This window comes from Homo sapiens, chromosome 11 (assembly GCF_000001405.40).
Source record: "Homo sapiens chromosome 11, GRCh38.p14 Primary Assembly".
NCBI lineage: Eukaryota > Metazoa > Chordata > Mammalia > Primates > Hominidae > Homo > Homo sapiens.
Window position 1 is genome coordinate 17,913,300 of NC_000011.10, and position 23,421 is coordinate 17,936,720.

At 41.2% G+C, this 23,421-nt stretch overlaps 1 protein-coding gene across 3 annotated transcripts in view; it reads right to left on the reverse strand.

The window, feature by feature from the left end:
• Window positions 1–23,421, reverse strand: part of SERGEF (secretion regulating guanine nucleotide exchange factor) — a 225,000-nt gene that overhangs the window by 125,252 nt on the left and 76,327 nt on the right. The window contains exon 10 of one of the 3 annotated variants that reach the window (NR_104040.2): window positions 5,396–5,480. The exons of the other annotated variants lie outside the window; for them this stretch is intronic. The gene's annotated coding sequence lies outside the window, so the exon portion shown is untranslated. The remainder of the gene's footprint in view (window positions 1–5,395; window positions 5,481–23,421) is intronic. 3 annotated transcript variants of the gene reach the window in all.

Consider the following 23,421-nt stretch of genomic DNA (forward strand, 5'->3'; position numbering starts at 1 on the left):
CCTGTGCCTCCAAAAACTTCAGCTGTTTATAAATGAGCGTCCTGCTATGAAGCTACTAGAAATACACCCTTGGGCCCCTGACCCCAGCCCTAGCTCAAAGCTGTCTTTTTGGAGGCAGGATGTTGTTAGTACACCCAGAGCTTAAGAAATTAACAGCTCCAGACACTGGTAGAGCTGACTTCATTCATGGTGCTGGAATTAGCTAGAGAAGACACATACTGCTATTGTAAGATAATAGAAACCTATCTCAGAGGTAGCTTTGGGGGGTACTGAGTTCTGCCTGTAGAAATGCTTCTCTGGATAAAACAGCCTATCATTTCAGGAAGGAGGCTTAGCTGCACTATCTACTCCTCAGTCATGCACAGGAAAAAGCTAGGCTAGAGAATGCCAGTGCAGACTGACTCCCCTGGCTTGATTAAAATGCAATGCCAGTGACTCCACCAAGAGAAAAGAGACCTGTGGCTGCAGTGTAGGCAGCCCTCACACAGCCTGGTTGTACAGGCTCTACTGCAGCCCTTCTCTCCAACACCAGTGATGCAGCCCTCAGTAGAGCCCACCTTACTTAGACTTTGACAACTGTTTCCTTACTGGTCTCCCTGCCTACTTCCAAGCCATCCTCCAAGGGCAGCCAGGGAAGGCTTTGATCACATCATTTGATTAATAACCATTCACAATTCTCACTGACTACATGACTGAATGAAGCCCAAATCCTATAGCCTGGCATTAAAGGTCTTCTCAAATTGGCCCCAGTTGACCTTTACAACATTGTTTCAATTATTTCCCTTTGTGTTCTTTAGGCTACAGCCAAAATGAACTACTTGCTGATCCCTGAACTCAGTCTGTGATTCCTGCCTCTGTACTTTGTTCATGCTGTGCACTCCATCTGGAATGCTTCCTTCTTGTCCAAATCTTACGGATTTTCAAGCCAGCTCAAATCCCACCTCATCCATGAAGTTTTCCTGACTATTCTACTAGTTCACATTATTTCAGCTACATATTATCAGTACCTGAGGAGCTCTTACAAAATACTGATGCCTAAGCATTATCCTCAGAGATGACGATTTAATGAATTTGGGGTAGGGCTTGGCAAGTAACATTTTTAATGTTTTTATTTTTTTAATTTATTTTATTTTTTTAGAGTTGGGGTCTTGCTCTGAACCCAGGCTGGAATGCAGTGGCACAATCCAAGGCTGACTGCAGCCTCCAAATCCTGGGCTCAAGTGATCCTCCAGCCTCAGCCTTCTGAGTAGCTGAGACTACAGGCATGTACTACTGCCCTCAGCTAAGTATTTTATTTTATTTTATTTTTATTTATGGAGAAAGAGTGAGAGAAACTCAAGGTATTTCTAATATGCAACCATAGTTAAAAACCATTGTCCTCGTTAAAAGAGATCTCTCCTCTCACTGAGCTCCCATAACATTTTATCTAAATATCTTTTATGACACATAGTTTCTAGCTTCTTTCATACATATTTTATTTTTAAAGTATTTTATTGAGGGTTATTTTGTGTCAGGCACTGTTCTAGGCACTGTAATATAATAGTGATCAACACAAAGGGCCCTGCTCTCATGGAGTTTAAATTCTGATGCGGAAACAGATACTAAACAGATAAAATAAGGTCAGATGATAAGTGCCAGTAAAAGCAGGAAAGGAATGGAGAATAAAAGAAGAGGTCCTCTCTTAGAGAATATGGTTAGGAACGGCTTTCCTTATTGCAATCTTACGTCCCTTTTAGATGGCATATTGACTGACAACAAAACCTGTGTCTAATTCATTTTTGTATCTCTCATAGCTTTTTGTATAGTGCTTGCATAAATAGGTGCTCAATAAGTAGATGCTCGTTGTATGAATGAATGAATGAATGAATGAGTAAATGGATCAATGTGCCTTATTAATCACTGTATCCCCCATAATGCCCAGGGCAGTACCTGAAATATACCAGATGCTGAATACATATTGGCTGAGTGGGTGAACTTGACTGAATTTTGGGACAAGTTATTTTGATGGCATATTTCCTGCGACTAGGTCATCACAAGATCACAGAATATCAAGCTCATCCTGAGATTACTGAGCTCAACCTCCCCTTTTTAAAGAGAAAACTATTCTTCAGAGATGATCACCTAACTGGCCCAAGGTCACAGAAGAAATCAAAGGGAGAGGTGATCTGAGTCCCTAGTTCTTCTGACTCTTGGTCCAGTGCTCATTCCATCAAACTGAAACACTTTTTCCATTAGCAAGAAAAAACTATTCTGAGGACCATTAACTCAGCTGACCCAAAAAACAACTCAGATTGGCATCAGTAAAACTAAAGAAAACCTCCATTTTCTTTGATCTCATAACAGTCTTTGCTGATGACTCAAGCGTGGTACATTTCACAGACAATCTCACCCTCACGACACCTCACTGCCCAACTCCACCACCCACAGCAAGGCATGCAGACAGGATCTCCTAGAGCAGGCAGGGGATTGGTGAATTTCCAACTACAAATAAAACTATGAACCTTTCCCATTTTCCATCCTTAGCCAAGTTCCAATGAGATATGGTAAGGCAATGCCAGGCTACATGGGAAAGGCTAGGCAAAGAAGCCAGTGGCTGGAAAACCAGGGAGGAGCTAAAGAGTCTGGCCAGGTGAGGGACAGCAGCAGGTGCAGGGACTGTTGACGTAGTGATGGGTTGTGCTGCAACAAGTGGTTGGCCACACTGGCCTTGCTGTGGGCAAACAAACTGGCCTGAAGACAAGCAAGTAAAACCTTTTTTTTTCCATTTTTCTTAAAAGTCTGTGGAATCACAGCATCCATCTGGATGCAATGAAGACCAATTTCCTAGAATAACTTTCCAAACAAAATGCTCAAGAGAGCCAAAAGTTATACAGTTGGCATGGGCTTCCCTGGCTTTGTAGTAAATACATCGCTCTATCACCTGGCCCTTCTGTACCTCTACAGTCCAAGAATGTTCAAAATGAGGACTCTAAGGCATTTGGAGATCCTAAAGGGCTTTCTGAATCATCAAAGGAAAATTTGGCTGAGTGCAGCTTTCAGTGTCAAATTTATTATCATTATTATTATTTCTTAAAAATTGGCATTTTGTGTTGGACATAGATGAAAGAGAAGCAGAGTAGCTGATTAACTGCAGCAGAGATTTCTAGCTTTATCTGAGCTTATAAATTACCTGGAGGCATTGAGCCCCACCAGATTAGAATCAAAGTAGAGACCTGGAAATCTGTATTTTTAGCAAGCACACCAGGTGATTCTTATGAATTGGTTAGCATAGGAAACACCAAGCTAGAAAACTATAGTATCCATTTCACAGGATTATTATCAGAATTAAGTGAAACTATATAAAGGTGTTAGCACAATACCTGGCACATAATAAGTACTCAATAAGTGTTGGTTTTTGTTGCTGTGTAATAATTAATAAGACATTCCAAGCCTGGTCTGATAATAGTTACTCTATGGACATGTACAAGCTAAAAGGCAGAGAATACAAATATCCTGGAGTGGAACAATCACTATCATTTATCTGTTTTTTCTTATTAACTTCATCCCTGTTATCCCCCTAGCACAACGGTTCTCAAAGTGTGGTCCCTAAATCAGTAGCATCAGCATTATCTGGGAATATTATTTGAATACGGATGCAGTGAACAGGGAACACTTGTACACTGTTGGTGGGAATGTAAACTAGTACAGCCACTACAGGAAACAGTGTGGAGATTCCTTAAAGAACTAAAAGTAGAACTACCATTTGATCCAGCATTCCCACTACTGGGTATCTACCCAGAGAAAAAGAAGTCATTATACAAAAAAGATACTTGCACATGCATGTTTATAGCAGTACAATTTGCAATTGCAAAACTATGGAACCAACCCAAATGCCCATCAATCAACTAGTGGATAAAGAAACTGTGGTACATATATATGATGAAATACTACTCAGCCATAAAAAGGAATGAATTAATGACATTTGCAGCAACCTGAATGGGATTGGAGACTATTATTCTAAGTGAAGTAACTCAGGAATGGAAAACCAAACATTGTATGTTCTCACTCATAAGTGGGAGCTAAACTATGAGGATGCAAAGGCATAAGAATGACACAATAGACTTCAATGACTCAGGGGGGAAGGGTGGGAAGTGGGTGATGGATACAAGACTGCAAATTGGGTTTAATGTATACTGCTTGGGTAATGGGTCTCAAAAATCACACAATCACCGCTAAAGAACTTACTCATGTAACCAAATATCACCTGTTCCCCAAAAATCTATGGAAATATAAATAAATAAATGAATAAGAAAGAAATGCAAATTCTCAAGCTCCACTCCAGACTTACTGCATGAGTATATCATCAGAGGTGAAGCCCAGAAATTCATTTCAGCAAGCTTTCCAGGTGATTCAGAAACAGGCTATAGTTCGAGAACCATCACCCAAACATCTTGCAATTCAAAGTATGGTCTCCGTATCAGCAGCATAGGAATGCTGGAAATGCAGAATCTCAGGTCCCAACCCAGACTGACTAAATCAGATTCTGCATTTTAATGAAATCCCCAGGTGATTCATATGCACGGTATCATTTGAGAAGCACTATCCTAGTCCACAGGAACTTCAGAGATGCAAATGAAACTAAATTTACTGTTGTTTTGATTATTTAAATGGGGTTTATAAGTACTTACTAGGCACTGTCCTTTACACAGATTACCTTGTTCATCCTCATTATGCCTGTGGTAGGTATTTTTATTCCTGTTTTACAGATTAGAAAATTGAGTCTCAAATCAGTAAAGTAACTTGCTGAAGGTCACAAGCTAAGAAGTGGTACAGCTGATCATCTCTGTATGACCCGAAGTCTGTGTTCCTTTCTCCACTCCATGGTGCCTGTGGGTATAGCTAAGCAGATACCACCTGCCTGCTGGTACAAGTGGAGCACTTCAAAACAGAGACAGTCCCCAACTTATGAATGAGCAAGACTCCAAAAATGTTTTTCTAAGTCAGATGTTTGGAACTAGTGAGAGAACTACTTGTAGAAACTATTTACATCATGGCTTCTACAAGAACATGCATTCTGAATTACAGCACCAGAAGGTAGCAGCTCCCTGCAGGGTCAATACATCTGGGCTCCAGGAACTTGTCAGCACTTCATTTATATCAACATAAGAAAAAGCACCTCCAAGGCAAATCCCTCCCCAGATGTCATGGCCTGGGAAACATCCATTCATTCCCTCATTCAAAGATTTACTGCCTCCTATGGAAAAGGTGCTGTGCCAGGTGCTGTAGGTGAAAATGTCCCCATGACTTAAGGAATTCATAATCAGTAAGATAAATAAAGCAGGAACAGACACACACACACACACACACACACACATACACACACACTCTCTCTCTCTCTCTCTTTCTCTCCCCCTACCTACTGGAAGTTCAGAGAATGAAGTGATCAATTAGGACCTGGACATCAGGGAAGACTTTCCAAGGAGATGCCATCTAAAGCTAGTCTGGAAAAAAAGCAGAATATGGATTAGGCAAAAAGCACTCCTGGCAAAGGGAAGAGTGTGAGCAAAGGTATAAATGTGTGAAAGAGAAGTCAAGTTACAGAACTGCAAGTTATCCCCTTAGGTGAAGCAAAAGGTTCACTTAACGTGACTTTGGGAGATGAAACTAGAAATGCAGGACTGTGCCTCAGTAGGGAAGACTCTAAATGCTAGGTTGAGAGAGCAGAACTTTGTACATATATAGAGAGCTGCTGCATATTACTCATCATATTACATAACAAATCATTGAACCCCAAATCCTTTTTGCAACAAACTAGGGTAAAAACAAACATTTCTGAATTGGTATTATAATTATTTCAAGTCTGCTTCCTCCATTAGACTGAATTCAAATGACTTTGAGCATTAGTAAATTCTCAAAAGATGCTGAATGTATAAACAAAGGAATGAATAAATGAGTACACTAATGAGCAGCTGAGAGGTTATAAGCAGGAGAGAGAAGGCTCAATACTGCATCATGGCCTGAAAAGGAAAGGGTAAGGGGAGGGATGGAGATGGAGAGACCGGAAGCCTCAGATCTAATGGCTAGGAGGCCACTGTGATTAGACAGGCAAGAGTTTGGAAACAACTAGGTTAAGGGTAATGGGAATGAGGAAAAAGGGACAGAAGAGAGAGAGATGGTTACAGAACACAGTAAGTGATTGGCAATGTGAGCAGAAAAGGAAGACATCAAAGTCTCACTGAAGTTTGGAGTCTGGGTAACAGACTCCAAACCATTTGAAAAATGGGTAGTGAAATGGAAGAGCAAGATGCATTATAGATATCACTTATTAAATCCTTACAACCCTTGAGGGTATTATCTCCCTGAACTCATCCTCTCTTATTCTCCCCCATACTCACTCCACTTGAGTCATGCCAGCTTCCTTGCTATTTCCTGAATATGCCAAGCCTGCTCCCACTTTAGGGCCTTTGCACTGGGACATGCTTCCCCAGATATCTGCATGGCTAAGTCCCTCACCAACTCCATGTCATTATTTCAGTGAGGCCTATTAAAAACTGCAACGCGGGAGGCTGAGGCAGGAGAATCGCTTGAACCTGGGGAGCGGAGGTTGCAGTGAGCTGAGATTGTGCCATTGCACTCCAGCCTGGGCAACAAGAGCAAAACTCCATCTAAAAAAAAAAAAAAAACCGCAGCCAGGCACGGTGGCTCACGCCTGTAATCCCAACACTTTGGGAGGCCAAGGCGAGTGGATCAAAAGGTCAGGGAATCGAGACTATCCTGGCTAAAACGGTGAAACCCTGTCTCTACTAAAAATATAAAAAATTAGCTGGGCATGGTGGCACGCGCCTGTAGTCCTAGCTACTCAGGAGGCTGAGGCAGGAGAATCGCTTGAACCCATGAAGCAGAGATTGCAGTGAACCGAGATTGCGCCACTGCACTCCAGCCTGGGCAATAGAGCGAGACTCTGTCTCAAAAACAAACAAACAAACAAAACAGCAACTCACACTTTCCCCAGAACTCCTAAAATCCCTTACCCTGCTCTCACTTTTTTCTTCTTTTGATTATATTTATTATCTTCTAACATGGTATTTGAGTTTATTTCTTATGTCTAGGTTTAATGTCTGTCTCTCCTCACTAAAATGTAAACTCCATAAAGACAAGGATTTCTGTCTATTCCCCAAATGCCTTGGAAGTGGCTGGCACATAACTGTGCTCAATAAATTCAATGAACTATCTCCATTTTATAGATGAGAAAACTGAGGCTGAGAGGAGGAATGCAACTTTCCCTAAATAACACAGTTGTCAATCAGTGATAGTAATCTGAATTCAAACACATCTGTCCAACTTCAACTCTCACTCTAGCAGGCAAAGTCTCCCTTTAGACAGACCAAGTTTAAGGCTACAGTGGCCTATATGGGAGGCCAGTGATGTGAGATTAGAGCAACCATTCCCACAAGACAGTAGACTTGGCCTGGAAGGGAGCAGGTCTACGTATGCATAGAGATCCTGAACTGCCTGCAGACTGAGAAACAAGCAATCTGACCAGAGAATCACCAAGAGAACGAATGGTTTCATTTTCCAAGTGCAAGTTTGAAGAATCAGGCCAGCTTCTCCAGTGAAGCAGTTTCTAATTTTTCCAGCTGCCTAGATTGTCAAATTACAAACTTATCTTCAGGGGAATGTATTTAACAAAGGGACATGTTCTATTTCCCTTTTTAACACCCATCCAGTGGATCTGCACTTGGTTTAATTGCCATTCTGATCCCCCCACATAATCCATACATCACAAGACTCACATTTACAGTTCAGTACATTATCACACTGGAGCTGCTCAAAATAAACGGGTTTGGCAAAGTGTAATTATTTCCAGCAAAAGAGTTGGTTCTGCATTTTGACAGTCATCTGATACATTATTGTACTCAATGCTAAACTGTGAAACTGCAAAATTAAAAGAAAGTAATTTTTTTAAGTTTTAAAAGTACTCATTATTAAATTATAAAGCAGGTCATTTATGATGAGTCAGTCCAAAAACAGAAGGATGATAATGAAAGACTGAAGGAAGATTGGCTTCTTTGTATAACCTCTAATATTCACAATCCAAGGCCATTGTGAAAATTAAATGAGACTGCCCATGTAAAATATCTAGTCCAGTGCCTAAGACATAATAGGTCCTCAGTAAATGCTGATTTTCTTCCTTAAAAATTCCTCAGCAGCAGAATTTACAAACCACCTCAATTTGTTCATTTGTTCATACATTCCATGATTCCCTCATTCCCAAAGAGCTCTCAGTCTGCTGGGGAAAGGCAAGTAAGCATGTAACTCCCACAAAAGGGAATGAGTGCTAAGAGAAACATAGACAAAAAGGGCTATGAGGGTGCAGACAAAGAGTCCTCACCCCAGGGGAGAGCAAGACCTGAAATGAACTAGACAGGGAAAGATGAGTTCAGTAAAGCATGGGGGAAGGTGAAAAAGAGACAGAGACCAAGAGACAGAGAGAACAACACATGCAAAGGCCTGGAAGCAAGGAAGAACACATGATTTAGGGATACTGTAATTAGAACCAGCCTAGAATGACCGACACAGGGGGAACAGATGGTCATGAGACCTGCAATGGCCCCTCTTTTTTTGTTAAAGTGACTAAATGCACTGACTCCTCAGCACAATGGGAAGTGGCTGAGCTTGCCTTGTAGCCCACTTTCCCTAGTGCAAACTCCCAGTAAGGTGATCTCAAGCCCCAGCCACCACCAAGCCTCATGGACTTGTCTCAAAGATGAGATGGGAGAGATTTCTCTTTAAAAGAGAACTTGATGAAATCTAAGTTACCCAATGGCAACGTCTGAACATGCTGAGTCAGCTGCACTTCAGGAAACAGAGTGTCCTTGGAGAATAGAGCATATCACTTTACACACAGAAAACCACTCCTGTCTACGAAGGACAAACTGCAAAATGCTTAACACTGGCCTTCAATTATTAAACGAGCCCAAATGAGCTCTGGCAGTGAGACAGATCACACACACTCACAGAGAGGGCTCTAGCAGGCCAGCCTATATTGTTTTAGGATTATTCATCAAGGTACCAACAGACAAGGGTCTTTCAGAGATCTTAGGGTCATGAGGTTACCCATAGCTCTTGGAAAAGATGATCATGCTCAGAACAAGGAAGAGAAAGTAAAAAGAACCTGACCCTTTGCAGAAAACATTGGGGTTTTTTTCTAAGTATTATAACACAGCCTATGCTGGCAAATATTTCATTAACAACTTTTTGCTCCTTGGGTGGCAGTTTCATACTGGTCAGTTTTTGGCGTACTATGTGGTACTCAGGAGTTTACTCAATTGTCTCCACTGGGGGTATTTTTTAGTCCCCTGAGAACAAGCAGAACACTGAGGAGAAGCTCTGGAATCATACCTGGCTTCAAATACTGCTCGTTCTTTTGTGTCCTCACTGTATGACTTGCAGTCTCAGTTTCCCCATTCATAAATGTAGATTCATGGGGTTTCTGTGGAAACTAAATAACATACCATGCACCTGGCACAATGCACATAAGGGAGCTATTTACATTTTGTTCTCTATTCCCTTTACTCCTTTTGTGTCCTGGAAAAATTAGAATGGTTTCCTATCTGGATACTGGGTTCACCTCTTTTGATTTCAGATTAAAACTGCCATCCTAGTCTCTGCTGGTTTGAAACTAACTTCCACCTGGAGGTTACCCTAACAGAAAGAAATCTGGGTAATGACCACGGGGCCAGCCCTTTCACTTCTCTCCTTCCTCTGACCTCTGACAGTCCCATCCCACCTAGATATACATCAGTTTGCATTCCTCTCTAGCTGACCCATCTATGAGGTCTGCCTGTTTCCCTGTCCCTGCAACCTTCTTCTCCTGCCATCAGCTGATTCCCGTCTATTGGTCCAGCCCTGCCATAGGCCCAGGTCTAGCCAGGCTTCTGCCCTCATCCAGTTTAGCCTACTGGATCCTTAGTCCCTGGAGAGCAGGGGCCATACCTCAGTGCGCTCAGCTCTGTAAGCAGCTCAGGATCCAGTACACAGCAGAGGCTGGCCAGAAGTGGTGGGGTGAGAGGGACTCGGTGCCAGAGGGCCCAATCCTGGGACATGTTCTTAGAAGTTCTGTCCTGAGGCCAAGAAAAAATTTCCTAGGATGGAAATGCTCCAGGAAACCTAGGCAATGACAAATGAGCTGAGCACAGGCAATCTCCAGAGACTCCTGGTACTCCAGAAACCTTCACACTCTCATGCACATTCCTCACACGCTTGCTGCAGATTATGTGAATGGGGCCTGGACCAGGGTGGAGGCAGTACAGATTCCAGACTCACTGGGAAGGGAGGTGTTGCAGATGGACTAATGAGAATACAGAGAGTGAAGCAAAAGGTGACTGAGATTTTGAGTCCTGGTCACAGGGGAAAACAACTTAACACAGTGCTAAGTGCTAGGGATGCAGAGGTGGGTGTACACACAGCTCCAGCCCTCCCCCAGGATAAGTTAGTTCCCAGCACTCTGCTGCCATAGCACCCTGGACACCCTCATCATTGCACTCAGCATCCTGGACTGACACTATGACTTACCTGTCTCACCTGCTACATCACAAGCTCCTTGATGGAAGAGACTGTGTCATACTGAACTTTATATCTACAGCCATCTAGCATAGTGCGTGGTACAATTCCCAGGCCTACCAATTACTAGCTTTGCCAAGTCATTTAAACTCTCTAAGCCTCAATTTCCTAGTCTGTAGAGTGAAGATGATAATAATCTCTACACCCAAGGAGGAAGAAATGAGTGAACTTATCTAAAGCCCTTACTTATCCCAATCCCTGACTGAGAGTCAATACTCAAAAAGGGTTAGCTAGTGAATGAATTTGGGGCAATGAATTTGAGGTAAGAGGGAGAGAAAAACATTCAAACAAATGGTTCTGGAATTATGTAATAAATAATATAGTAGGAATACATTTGAATTACTCTGAGAGCAGAAAGGAAAGCACCAAATTTTGCCTTGGCATATATAGAAAACTTCACAGAGGAGGTAACACTTGAACTAAAATCTAAAGATCTAAAATCAGGCCAAAGGAAGGCCATGTGTGAAGTCAGAGAGGCAGGAAAGAGAACCTGGTATGTTCAGGAACTGCAAGTCTGGCTATAAGAAGGGTCTGTGCAAAGGAATGGTGGTGACACACAGGGTGAAGAGATGACTTAGAGCCAAAAATTCCCTGCAAGCTCTGCCACAGAGAATGGATTTCTCCTGGAAGATACTGAAAAGCCACTGCAGGGTTTTGAGTAAGAGAGTGAAACATAGAAGCACTGTGGTGGCAGTGTGGAGGGTAGAAAAAAGGGGTAAGACTGGAGACAAACATAGAACAGTGGGGGTGCGGGGGGTGATTTGGGTTGAGAAGAAAAGAATGGAGATGGGGTGGAGAGAGGGGGAAAGTGAAGCTGGCCAGCTCAAGAAGTTAGGTAGAAACTGAGTCTCAGAAAAATTGCAACTGGCCCTTGGCATTCCCCAAGACTTCTTCACATAAAGTGTAGGTCTATGAGTTGTAATAAATCACCTTCCTTCCATGTTTGCTGTCTTACAATTTGTGCAATAGAGGAGCATGAATATGGAAAATTCCAGCTGAAAACTTTGACCGCATGAACAGGCCCAGAGGTCACAGTCACCACTGATGGTTAGATGAAACCATCTACAAACAGGCCTGGGATCCCGGCCAGCAATTTTTTATTCACATGCAAACTTGGGGATGGAGTTCCACCGACAAAATCTTTCAGGTGTACTCTTTTTTTTCTTTTGTTTTTTAAGCCATTTACAGGAACCCAAGGTCCTCCTTGTACTTCAGAGAAATGCTTTGTATTTAATTTGTTCTTAAAGAAAAAACAATAGCCTCTTTGCTCTACATGACTAGGCCACTGGGCACCACGAAAGAGATACAGTAACCCACCAAGTCTCTAAGGTCCCAGAAGTCCATCTGTCTGTCACACACATCACAAGGGCACCACGAAAGAGATACAGTAACCCACCAAGTCTCTAAGGTCCCAGAAGTCCATCTGTCTGTCACACACATCACAAAGACACCACTCATGGCAGAAGAAATACGCTACTGCAGGGTGAAAGGGACTGCATTCTAGAAGCCTTCTGGAGGGCAAAGGAAGGAAGAGAAGAAGAAAAGAAGGGTGAAAAAGGGGGAGGGAGTGTTCAAGACCATACATGACCACTTCTGCTAAACACAAAATAGTTGCCTTTTCTGCTTCTTTCCTTGCTTTCAATCTAATTAGACAGAAAGAGCTAATGAGTAGGCAGCAATGGTGCTTGGTTCAGCTGTTCCAGACCCTAGTGTTTCCTCCTTATTAAAAATAAAGAGACCCAAGGGCTCAATTTGGTAAAAATGCACACAGGGAGGCACATTTCCATCTTACAAAAATGTTTTGCATTAAAAAAACCATATCTGTTTAATAGATACCAAAAATTAAATGTACAATAGCAAGATCCCTGGCAGTATCTGTCTGCATTTTTGGAAGTGTCTTCAAAGACAGGACATTAGAATAAGACTCAAAAGACCTGAATTCCAGTGTCAGCTGTACCATTTACCAGCTGTGTGATCTTGGGCAAAATATGTAACATCTTGAGCCTCAGCTGCCTTACTATCAAATGAGTATAATGCTCTGCCTGTCTCACAGAGTCTGGGGGAAACAATATATTTTGAAAACTATAAAGCACTTTGCTAATACCTACTCAGTCAATAAATATTCACTGAGAGCCTACTAGGTATTAGGCATTGTTTCCCTTCAACTGTTAATGTTATTACCAATATTCCACCCCTTCCAGCTCAGTCATTAGATGTCAGTTTCAAATGCAGACAGGTCTATGGTCTCAAGCCAACCTCTCATTCACCCAGTTTTTTTTTCCCAATTGGGGCATTAGTCACTTGCCTCCATCAGGAGATATCTAACGACATCTCAGCCCTAAGAGGCCCTGAGACATGTTAGTACAAATGATGATGGGGAGAGGAGCCTCTGCCACCTCTGCTACCCTAGAGGGCCTGATCCTAAGAAGCTTCCAGAATCTTACCCTCCACAACCACAGAAGAAGACAGTTCTCACAAGCAGGGCCAGAGGCAGGGAGAGACAGGTAAACAGATGGAAAACCTGCATGGCTAAGTCTTTCCAGTATCAGAGTGCCTGGCTCCACGTCCACACCAGGTGACCTTTACTCCAGCGTACCCCTGTCTTCTATCAGGAAAGATTTCAAGTTTCAGAGGTTAGCAGCTCAGAAGCAGCCTCAGTGTGCTGCCCATTCCTGCCCTGATCTTGTTCCTTGGTTTCCATCACTGGGTATCTGCCTTATTCTAGAAACCATGCCCTCCTTTATGCCAGAGGTTCAGCAAGTGTGACCCTGAATTGATTGTTTCCTCTATCTGAATCCCCACCTAATAAACCGTTTCACCAAGACCAGAGTCCTACCTTGCTATTACTCCAAAAGACTATCTTGATGCAGAATCCACCTGGAGGGCCTCCTGAGACCAGAGCTCTAGGAATTCATCTCCACATCTCCCACTGTGCAGTTCAGTATCTGGCATGTAATGGGCACACAACAAATATTTATAGAATGAAAAGGTTACCCACTGGTCTAGATCACTGCAGACTGTCTGCTCCTATGCCCCTCCCCAACTCACAGGACCTCTTTGACGGATAAACCAACCATCGCCTGTCACCATGTTCTTTGGCTGCTTTGTTGTTCCAACTCCAGGCCCCTGACAGGGTCTCTGGGTCAAACATACCTACTCTATTCCCGGTATGCCCTCTTTGCCACTTAGCACATCCTAAAAGAAAGAGTGCTAAGCAAATTCTGAAGTCTGAAGGCTGCTTCAGTGTCCCAGACACACCTTTTGCTCCTGGATTATGAGGGTTAACCCACACTAGAGACTCATTTGGGGCCATCTGGCAATTTTTGGCACCACCCACTTCCCCTTGTCCAGTGTGGAAGGGACTCAAGTCCTGTTCAACAAGCACTACTGAACACAAAGCCTGGTGTCATAGAGAGGCTCTGCTTAAGATCCCGTGGTAAATGCCTCACTAAAACCTAAGAAAGAAGGGCTTCAGGCAAGTCTAGACTACCAACATACCCGATTTTGGTTCTGTGAGGCTGCTGTAAACATGAAAATGCAAGTAGGAAACCTTATTTCTGCTTCTTTACATTGCTAGATCAGCAGAGGAAAAGCACACATACAACACAGAAGGAAAATGATGACCTGAGTGTTGGTCCTGGTCTCTTCCACTAATTTGCTGTGTGACCTCAGGCAAGTCACTCTCCTTCTTTGGATTTCTGTGTCCTCCTTTGTAAAGTCACAGTCTCAGATGTGATGATCCATTTATAAAGCCCCGTCTATGCCTGACATTTAGCAATTTCCTTGCTACTCAGAACACAGAATTGAAATCATCTGGGAACCTGTTAGAAGTGGAAAGTAGCCCTACTGACTCAGACCTACAGAGCTAGAATCTTCTACATTTTAACAAGATCCCCAAGTGATTGCACACACATTGAAATTTGAGAAACACTGTTGTGCAGCTTCTCAGGAAGATCCAGGCCGACCTGGGGCATGACATCTTCTGCAAGAAGCTGGAAGAAGAAAGAGTCTGTCACAGGACTTTACTGAATGTGATTAGAAGCAGCTGGCTAGTAGTAAGGGCTGAGGAGAAAATGCTGCAAGATCCTTTTAAACTCAGCTGCAATCCATAAAATGTCTCTCAAGTACTTAGAGTCTCTAAATTTGAAGTCTTTAGATAAAATGACTTTAAAAATACTAATTATGCACGGAAGTCTAACCATGAACCAAGCATTAGTGAATCCAAAGCTCCTTCTGTACTGGCATGCTGCCAGCAGGCATGAACAGAAGCTCTAAAATCAGCAAGGAGGTCACCTCTGTAACCACAGCATTTCTCCCGGCCTCACCTGTCTCCTGACTGGTCCTCACCTACAGAACTTCAGTCTCAGTTGGAATCTCACAGACAAGACCACATTGAAAGGAACACTGTCTGAGCCTAGACAGTATGGCAAAGGTGAGAGAGGGCTACAAACTCTGGGGTCACAGACCCACAGAGTCAGTCCATGGAGGAGAAAGGGAAAAAAGGGAGAAGCAGAGTGGAACCAGCACAGACTGAATATTTAGTGGTGAAGACTCCCGCTTCCAAATCCAGGGAGAAGCCAGTTTCTGACTTCTTATCTGTCTCTCCCACAGACTGCAAGCTTTGTGAGGACAGGACTGTAAAACTTGTCTCTAGCTATAGTGGCCTGCACATAGAAGTCATTCAACAAATGTTTTATGAGTGAATGAATGAACGAACCAACCAATGAAAAAAAAACAATAAAGAAACAAGGACCAAAGATCATTCGCTTGGTTTCATCAGTGTCAGTCGAGACTACCCTTCAAACTCGTGAACTAAGCTTACTCCTCAGTCCAAAAGCCAGAACAGAAGACCCCAAGGGGTCTAGGAGATTTAAACCTGAAAAAAAAAGGGACTCAAACTAGCTTGGCATTTTTTTCTGGACCAAGGTATGCTAACAAACAGGCTATTCTAACCTTTTCCAGGTTTTGTAATGTTTTATGCTACTCTTACCAGAATTTCCAGGCAAGAAATTCTTTTCTAGAAACTAGATGCTATTTATATTTTAGTTATTAAATGCAATGTGAAAGTACCTAACACATAATCATCATCTACATTAACATTTGTTGAAACTCAATCTATAGAATTCTATTTCTCTATGTCATAAACTAGGAATTTTGCAAATAGCAGAATTACAGAACACTTTGGACCACCCACTTTTGTGAATATAAAATCACTTAAGTAAGGCAAGCTGACTTTGGTGGAATAGCCTTTATTTTTCATCCACTTACATAACTCGGCATTGTCAAAGTGCACCAATAACTGGTGCTGTCATCTCTCATGCCCCCAAGAAAAAACTCCTTTGGGGCTCTTTCTACATTTATTTTCAATTGCCAGATCCCCAGAGGAAAAAATCAAATCACTGACGCTATTTCAAACTTCATGCTCAAGGCAGCCACTAAGAGGATAATAGGGCAGCTCAGTTTTTGCTCTCTTTGAGACAGGAAGACACCCCATGGCTGTGAAGGAAAGGCAGGACACGTGTGTGGACATTCAAAATATAGCAAGGAAACCCAAAACAACAGAAAGACAAGAGGAGCTGGAGGAAAAAGCTGTTTGGAACTATGAATCATCCCAAGGTAACTTATTATGTTTTTATATAACAAGCAAAATGAGCTTTCAGCATTGCCATTCATTCATTGTTTTAGCCATTCATGCATTTGTTCAGCAAACATTTGTGGGTTCCCATTATATGCCAGGCGCTGTGCTAGGCAGGCAGGCAGCAGAACATCAGCCTACTACTGCTTACTATGTTCCTGCCACTCTAGCCTTCCTTCAGGTCTTTTGCAAGGTTGTTTCATGCTTCAACACAGTTCTCTGTGTAAATGTTTCCTCTTCCAAGAGGTCTTGCCTGATTTATTCCCCCATCCCACCCTGGACTAGATTAGGCTTGTCTGCTCTATATTCCTACAGCATTTCCTTTTTAACATTCTACACATCCATCATTACTTTATAGTCTCAGATAGATGGTAAGCTCCATGTGAGCGGGGACTGCCTCTCCAGTTACGAGCACAGAGGCTAGAATATAGTAGGATTCGATACATATTCACTGAACAAATGAACAAACTGGGATTTATAGCCAAGCTACAGGCTCTGAGAGATATAGCGGAATAAGTGCAGGATTTGGAGCTCAACAGACCCAAATCTGAACCCCAGCTGTACCACTCATTAGCTAGGTTACCTTAAGCAAGTCCCATAATCTCTCTGAGCCTTAGTTCCTCATGTGTGAAACACAGACAAAACTTCATAGAGATGTAGTGAAGATTAAATAACATGATGTGGGTAAAGTAACTGGCACAAAATAGATGCTCAACAAATGTTATCCTCCTACCCACTTCCCAACTTGCCTATAGTTACGAAAGAGTTGACAACACCAAGGCAGGGCCCCAATTCTATCAGAACTTATCAAAACAGGATTCAGGCACAGGAATAAGGGAAGGTCAAAGATAGCATCCCAGATGACATCTTACTGACTCCCAAGCTTTGAACTTGAGCTCCTTCAGTGTGTCTGACCAAGGTACAATACTAGGCCCACGACTAAGCCTACAGATGGAGGATCCAATGGCTGCAGCCATGGGGAGAAGATGGCAGAGACTGAGCCCATTCCTTTTGGCTTTTGAAGCATTTAGACAAAAGCATACAAAACTCCCTTCCCCATCTATGCTGTCCATAGGTAACTTAATGGAATCCAAAGGTCTACAAGTAAGCTTAGTTAGACCAGTGAGGTTAAAGGCAACACAGCACAACAGGAGGACTACACCTAGAATCAGATGACAGGGTTCAAGTCCAAACTCTGCCACCTACTGGATGTGTGATTTGGGACAAGAGTTTCCCTTATTCAGGTCTCATTTCACCATCTGTAAATCGAAGGGATTAGACTAGGATAGTGTCTAAGGGCCCTTACAGTGAGAAAGATCTGAGATGCTAGCTGCATGTCAGTCAGCTGTAATCAGCAGGCAAAAGGAGAACTCTTCAATCACGCACACCACTGAGCTGACGTCTGCTACACTGCTCTCAATTACACTGCAGAAAAAATGGTCATAAGGAAGAGCTAATATGGTATTTCCTGAGCCTATTTAGTCTCCCAATTCAGCACTGCACCTGTTCCTTCTGCATTTGCAATTTACTAGATAATATCATCACAGGCACTCCCTGAAACAGCTATCATTTATTTGTCACTTGCTTCTGTATTTCAGGTATTCTTTCTTATTTTAAATAAGATTAGGTAGAGTATTAGAAAGACTAATCAATATAACTGCCAAATGAAATTTACCCAGAAAACAATTTTCTCCTTTGTTTCCATTGTAATAACAGCAATATCTATAATGAATTGCTGACCTGCAATAAAAATCATACTACTATCAGAAAGAACATGGGGGCAAAAATATAATGCCTACTTCACAAACATGTAATGCCACACACAGTAAGGTAGCCCATTCATAACCCAGAACCTTTTTCTTACAGAAACACTGCAAATAATACTCAAATGTCCTGGGCCTGCTGCCTTGCAATACTAACCACCTCCATCCAAACACATACCCAACATTCACTAAATGCCATTTAATATGTCCTACCCATTCTTCTTAGGGCTGGAGAACCACAGTAATAAGACACAATTACTGTCCTTAGACAAAGTCTCAGCCTAAAGGTCAAGTGGTCCCAGCTGTGAAAGAAAAAGTGGCAAACTAGAACCCAGTCCATATGCCACAAGGTGACTTCTGTGAGCACTTAGGCCAAAGAATGGACTGCAAAACATCACCCAATATCTGCATTATAAAAGACCACTTAATACTGGGGCTGTGGTTCTCAAAGCATAGTCCCAGACCTTAAGTATCAACACCACCTGGGAACTTGTTAGAAACCAAATTCTCAGGCTCCTTCCCAGACCTACTGAATCAGAAACTCTGGGAGTGACGCCCAGCAATCTGTGTTTTAACAAGTCCTCCAAGTGATTCTGATGCATGCTGAGGTTTGAGAGTCACTGCCCTAAAGCATCCAAACTGCTGCATGTTTGCAGTAAAAACAGTAGAAAACTAAGCTTTCAATTAAACCTAAGAGAAAAGCAATAAAACTGGGTAAGAACAGGTTTTTCAATGTATCTTAAATATTGGTGTTTTGGAAAAAAAAACAGCTTTGTCAGAGAAGGAAGAGAAAGAAATGCTGTGCTACATGTATACATATGTAACAAACCTGCACGTTGTGCACATGTGCCCTAAAACTTAAGTATAATAAAAAAGAAAGAAAGAAAGAAATGCTCTGCTAATGCAACAGGGAATGTCTGCGCGTGTTCAAAAACCTCTGCGGCCTAAGGCCCTAGGCCTTTTCCTGTGTGGTGCTTCATTTCCAAATATAGGCCTTTTCTTCAACTGAGAGCCCATCACTTCAAAGGGTGTTCCCACACATTCGCTGGCAGATCTCTCAGACTCAGCAATCATAATTAAGGTCACTTTTTAAAAAAAATTCATAAATAAGAGGATGGCAAGTAAGAAGGAAAGGAGCAATAAATGTTCCTGGGGTCAATAATTTTAAAATGAAGGTAGAATTTTTGAAAGGATGGAAAAATAAATGTGTGCACATATGAGAAAGAGACTGCTTAGAGTTGAATTTGTTGAGCTCTGAATAAAAAAAGAAAGATGGGAGGATCAGCCCTAAGAGGAGAAAGGAGCCATAGAAGGAGAAAGGAGGTAATGAAGGAATATTGAAACATTTCTTAGCCTCTGCCACCAGGTGGTGAAATCAACCCAGCACAGCTTAGTTGCTGCCCAGAGCTACTGCTTGGATTTATCTTTTCTTGTTTGTCATTGCATTGGGGTGGGAATAGAGATGCGGAACAAATGGAGAGGCAGAGCAACTTCAAGCTGGGTGGCTGGGAGCAGGGAGAGTATAATGAGAAATGGATTGTTTTTATGCATACTAATTCAGTGGCCCTAATTAAAGAGCATCATTATATTTTAAAATGCATGGACAATCATGTAATAAAAAGTGCTCATGATGATAAAGGCTATACTGAATTATACATTAATGTTTAACTCCAACTAAGTTTTAAAATAATACATTTGATTTTAAAATATCTGTTTTCCTGGAATGAAACTCAATGTCAAGTTAGGTCTAATGTTATCATCCAAATGCAATTTTCCTCCAGTATACCACAAAATGTTGAATACTGAGGAAGACAATAATAATGAAAAGTCAGCTGTACTATAACAGCAAATTTCCTGTAGAGATGATTTGAGGTTCTACAGGTCACTAAGGAAAAGATACACATGGTTAATCATAAATCCATCTAAAGATAGTTCATTTCTATCATCTTTCATTTTAAATGGAGGTTTATACAACTCTTGGCTTGGAGGGTTGTAAATTTAATAATGTTGTTCCAATTCACTACTAGTCCTCATTGATCTTATTTTAATCTGTATTGATTGATTAATGTCATCTTGTGACATCCAAATGGCAAACTGAGGAAGAAAAATGATATGCATTGAGTTGGACTTCTATTGGAAAGAGCACTAAACTGGGTATCAAGAGACCTGGCTTCTAACATGCTCAGTCACTACTAGCTACTGTCCCTGGGAAAGTCACTCCATCTATCTGGGCTTCAGGTTCCTCATATATAAAATTAAACAATAATATCTGCCATAATTCAACAAACTGTTGTGATAAGCAGATCAGAAAACAAAAAGTTGTTACTATGAGACAGTATCTATATTCCCTTAAGTTCAAAACAAATAAACCCTCTATTGAAGAACAAACTACTTGTAAAATACTTTTAAATTAGGCAAAAAAAAAAAAATGCTGTTTTAAGTATTACAAATATATAGATGGGCAAGTAGGAAAACTGGAAAATAGTTCTCAGTGTTGTTGAATCCCTAAATTTTGGATCATCAAAATAAGTGTCTTTGGAAAATTTGAGTTTGCATATTTCCACCAAATGTTGCTGCAGTTACCATAGCAACAGAGAGGCCCAGTCAGTTGGGTCAATCAATAATGGCCATGAACAAGTGGCTCTGCTTTTCCTATGATGACAGCCACAAGAAAGTTTCTACTAAAGCTGGTATCTCTATGTTCATACTTCTCTGCAGCGTTCAGTGTCAAAATGTTCATGGAATTAACAAGGCTCAAGTGGTTCTCAGAATAAATTGAATAATAAAAAAAACTAGAATTTTTTTTTAATATTGAGATACTTAAATGAAAGGTATTGTCCAGGTATAGATATCACTGCCATTATCCAGGAAGGGATACCAGTCAAATGGGTCTAGGGACAATTTACTCTGAATGTTTCTTTAACTGCTATATTAATAAAATGTAATATAATACATGGTAAATATGCACTCAGCAAAACAAGAGCTTGCAATCGCTCTCAATTATTAATGGATATTAAAATTCAAACAAGCTAAACCACCCCTCAAACAATTCAGATCACAGAGCTAGACAAATATTAGCTTGTTTCCCAGCTGGTAACCCAAACAGAGTTCAATCTAGTTATTCATTCAGGAAAAAAGAAACTGCCTATGTCATTTATCTTTAATTCATTGTCCTGTTGAATACATATATCTGACAACTCTCCTCTAGGTCAGACCACTGCTTAGACATTACTTCCACTATTAACTTCAACAATAGTCCACTTAAATAAAATGGGGCAATGACTGTGAGAACTTAATGTAAAAACTTTATAAAGACCCCCTAATCCTCTGGCAATTCCAAAACAGATCTCTAGGCTTCAGGCTGTGTGACATTTGTACCTATGGAAGAAAGAGGAACTACAGACCAAGTGTACTGACTAACCTCAACCAAATGAATTTCTAATAGAACTATATAATCAGAAATTTTATCCTGATTTTCTTTTTGCATAAGTAAATGAAATTATTTGAAGAAAGAAAACTTCATCTACAATTCCACCACCTAATACCACGTCACATCTTTTTTTCATTATTCAACATTCCCTTCAAATCCATATCTAAGCATAAACAGAATTTTCACTCAAAGACATGACCCAGGTCCTATTTCTCACTTAATTTAGACAAAGATTTTCTCAAACTAAGTCCTATAGGGCCCTAGTGCTCCTGGATGTGCCTCAGGAGCCACCACAAAGGAAACCTGCCAGTAGGCAGCCAAGTGATAAGGCTTCCTTCTCCCATCCCTGACTTTCCTATCCCTATTCCCAATTCAACCAGAACAGTTATATTTTTATCTGTTTTAGATTTTGATGCTCTGCATACAATTTTAAAATAAAATAAAATAAAATAAAAATGGTGTATTACTACTAAGCATTTAAAAATAAAAGAATGTTCCCAGCACCTTGGGTGGCCAAGGCAGGAGGATTGCTTGAGGCCAGTAGTTTGAGACTAACCTCAGACATAGTGGACCATGTCTCCACACACAAAAAATTTTTTTTAACTAGCCAGGCATATGCCACCAGATACTCAAGAAGCTGAGATGGGAAGATCTGCTTGAGCTCAGGAGTTTGAGGCTGCAGTGAGCTGTGATAGCACCACTGTATTCCAGCCTGGGAAACAGAGGGAGACAAAACAAAAACAAAACAAAACAAAAACACCAAAAACTAAGAATGTATAGAATCATGTAATTTTAGAGCTGGACAGAACCTTAGAGAACCAATGATTTTATTTTACAGATGTTAAAAGAAGGCACAATGAGAAGAAAGACTTATCCAAGTTTATACAGGTAATTAGGAACGAGAATTGGATCCTAGGTCTCTATGCCCAACACAAAAGCCTTATTCCTAATTCAGGAACCATTCATTCACTCATTCAGTAAATATTTATCAAATGCTACTGTATGCCAGGCAGTGACTGAAGAACTGAGACATCAAGAAACAACCACAACAATGAAAACCCTGCCCCCATGGTACTTACAGTTTAGTAAAGGAAGATAAATAATAAATACAACAAATGAGTAAAGAATACAGTATATTAGCAAGTGATAAAGCAAAGTGGGGAGATGGGGCAGCAGAGTGGAGGGAGCAGGATTAGAGGTTACAATTGATGAATTTCCTCAAAGATCACTACCCATTCAGTCTTTATGTGCATATGTGCATTTGTGCTATAATTCATTAATTCAGGCTCACCAATTCAGAAAAGGAAATAATCTAATGGTAAATCTGCCTGAAATTTCCCAGGACTCTATCTATTCTTTTAATAGCATCCAAAGTAAATCAGTATAACAAGCAGAATGTTAAAACTATTTGGTAAAAATGTTAAACAGCACCTTAGAAGCACATACAAACATGATATTAATTGCTGCACTTGGCTCCACAACAAGCCAAGAATGTGACCAAAAAGAATTAGAAGTGAGGACCTAGTTGCCCTATTCTTCTGGGTAATACTGGATAAGATGATTAAGTTCTCTGAGCCTGAGTTTCCTTATCTATAAAATAAGAGGGCAGGGTAAGATATTCTCTGAGGTTCTACATTATCATTTGAATATCAAAGCCCCCTAATGTGCTAAAAGCATTATGTAATATCTCAGTAGTCATATCAGCATTACGATTTGAATCCAAAGTAGCCCTAATAATAACACATTACATTTATAGAGTTCTCCAGTTTTCAATGTGTTTTCATATTCATTATTCTCATCTGACAAGTAACAGAACAGGATTTTTTTTTCATGTTCTAATAAAGAAGGCTGGCCCTTCAGTCAATCCAAGGTAATACGAAGCTTCCTGCTCTCTAGGGCGTACACTCTGATCCAAACGTGGCTCCAGCCAAGGAAACCAACAGGCATTTCACAGAGAGACTCACAGTTAGGGGTTCCATTCATTAGGGTTA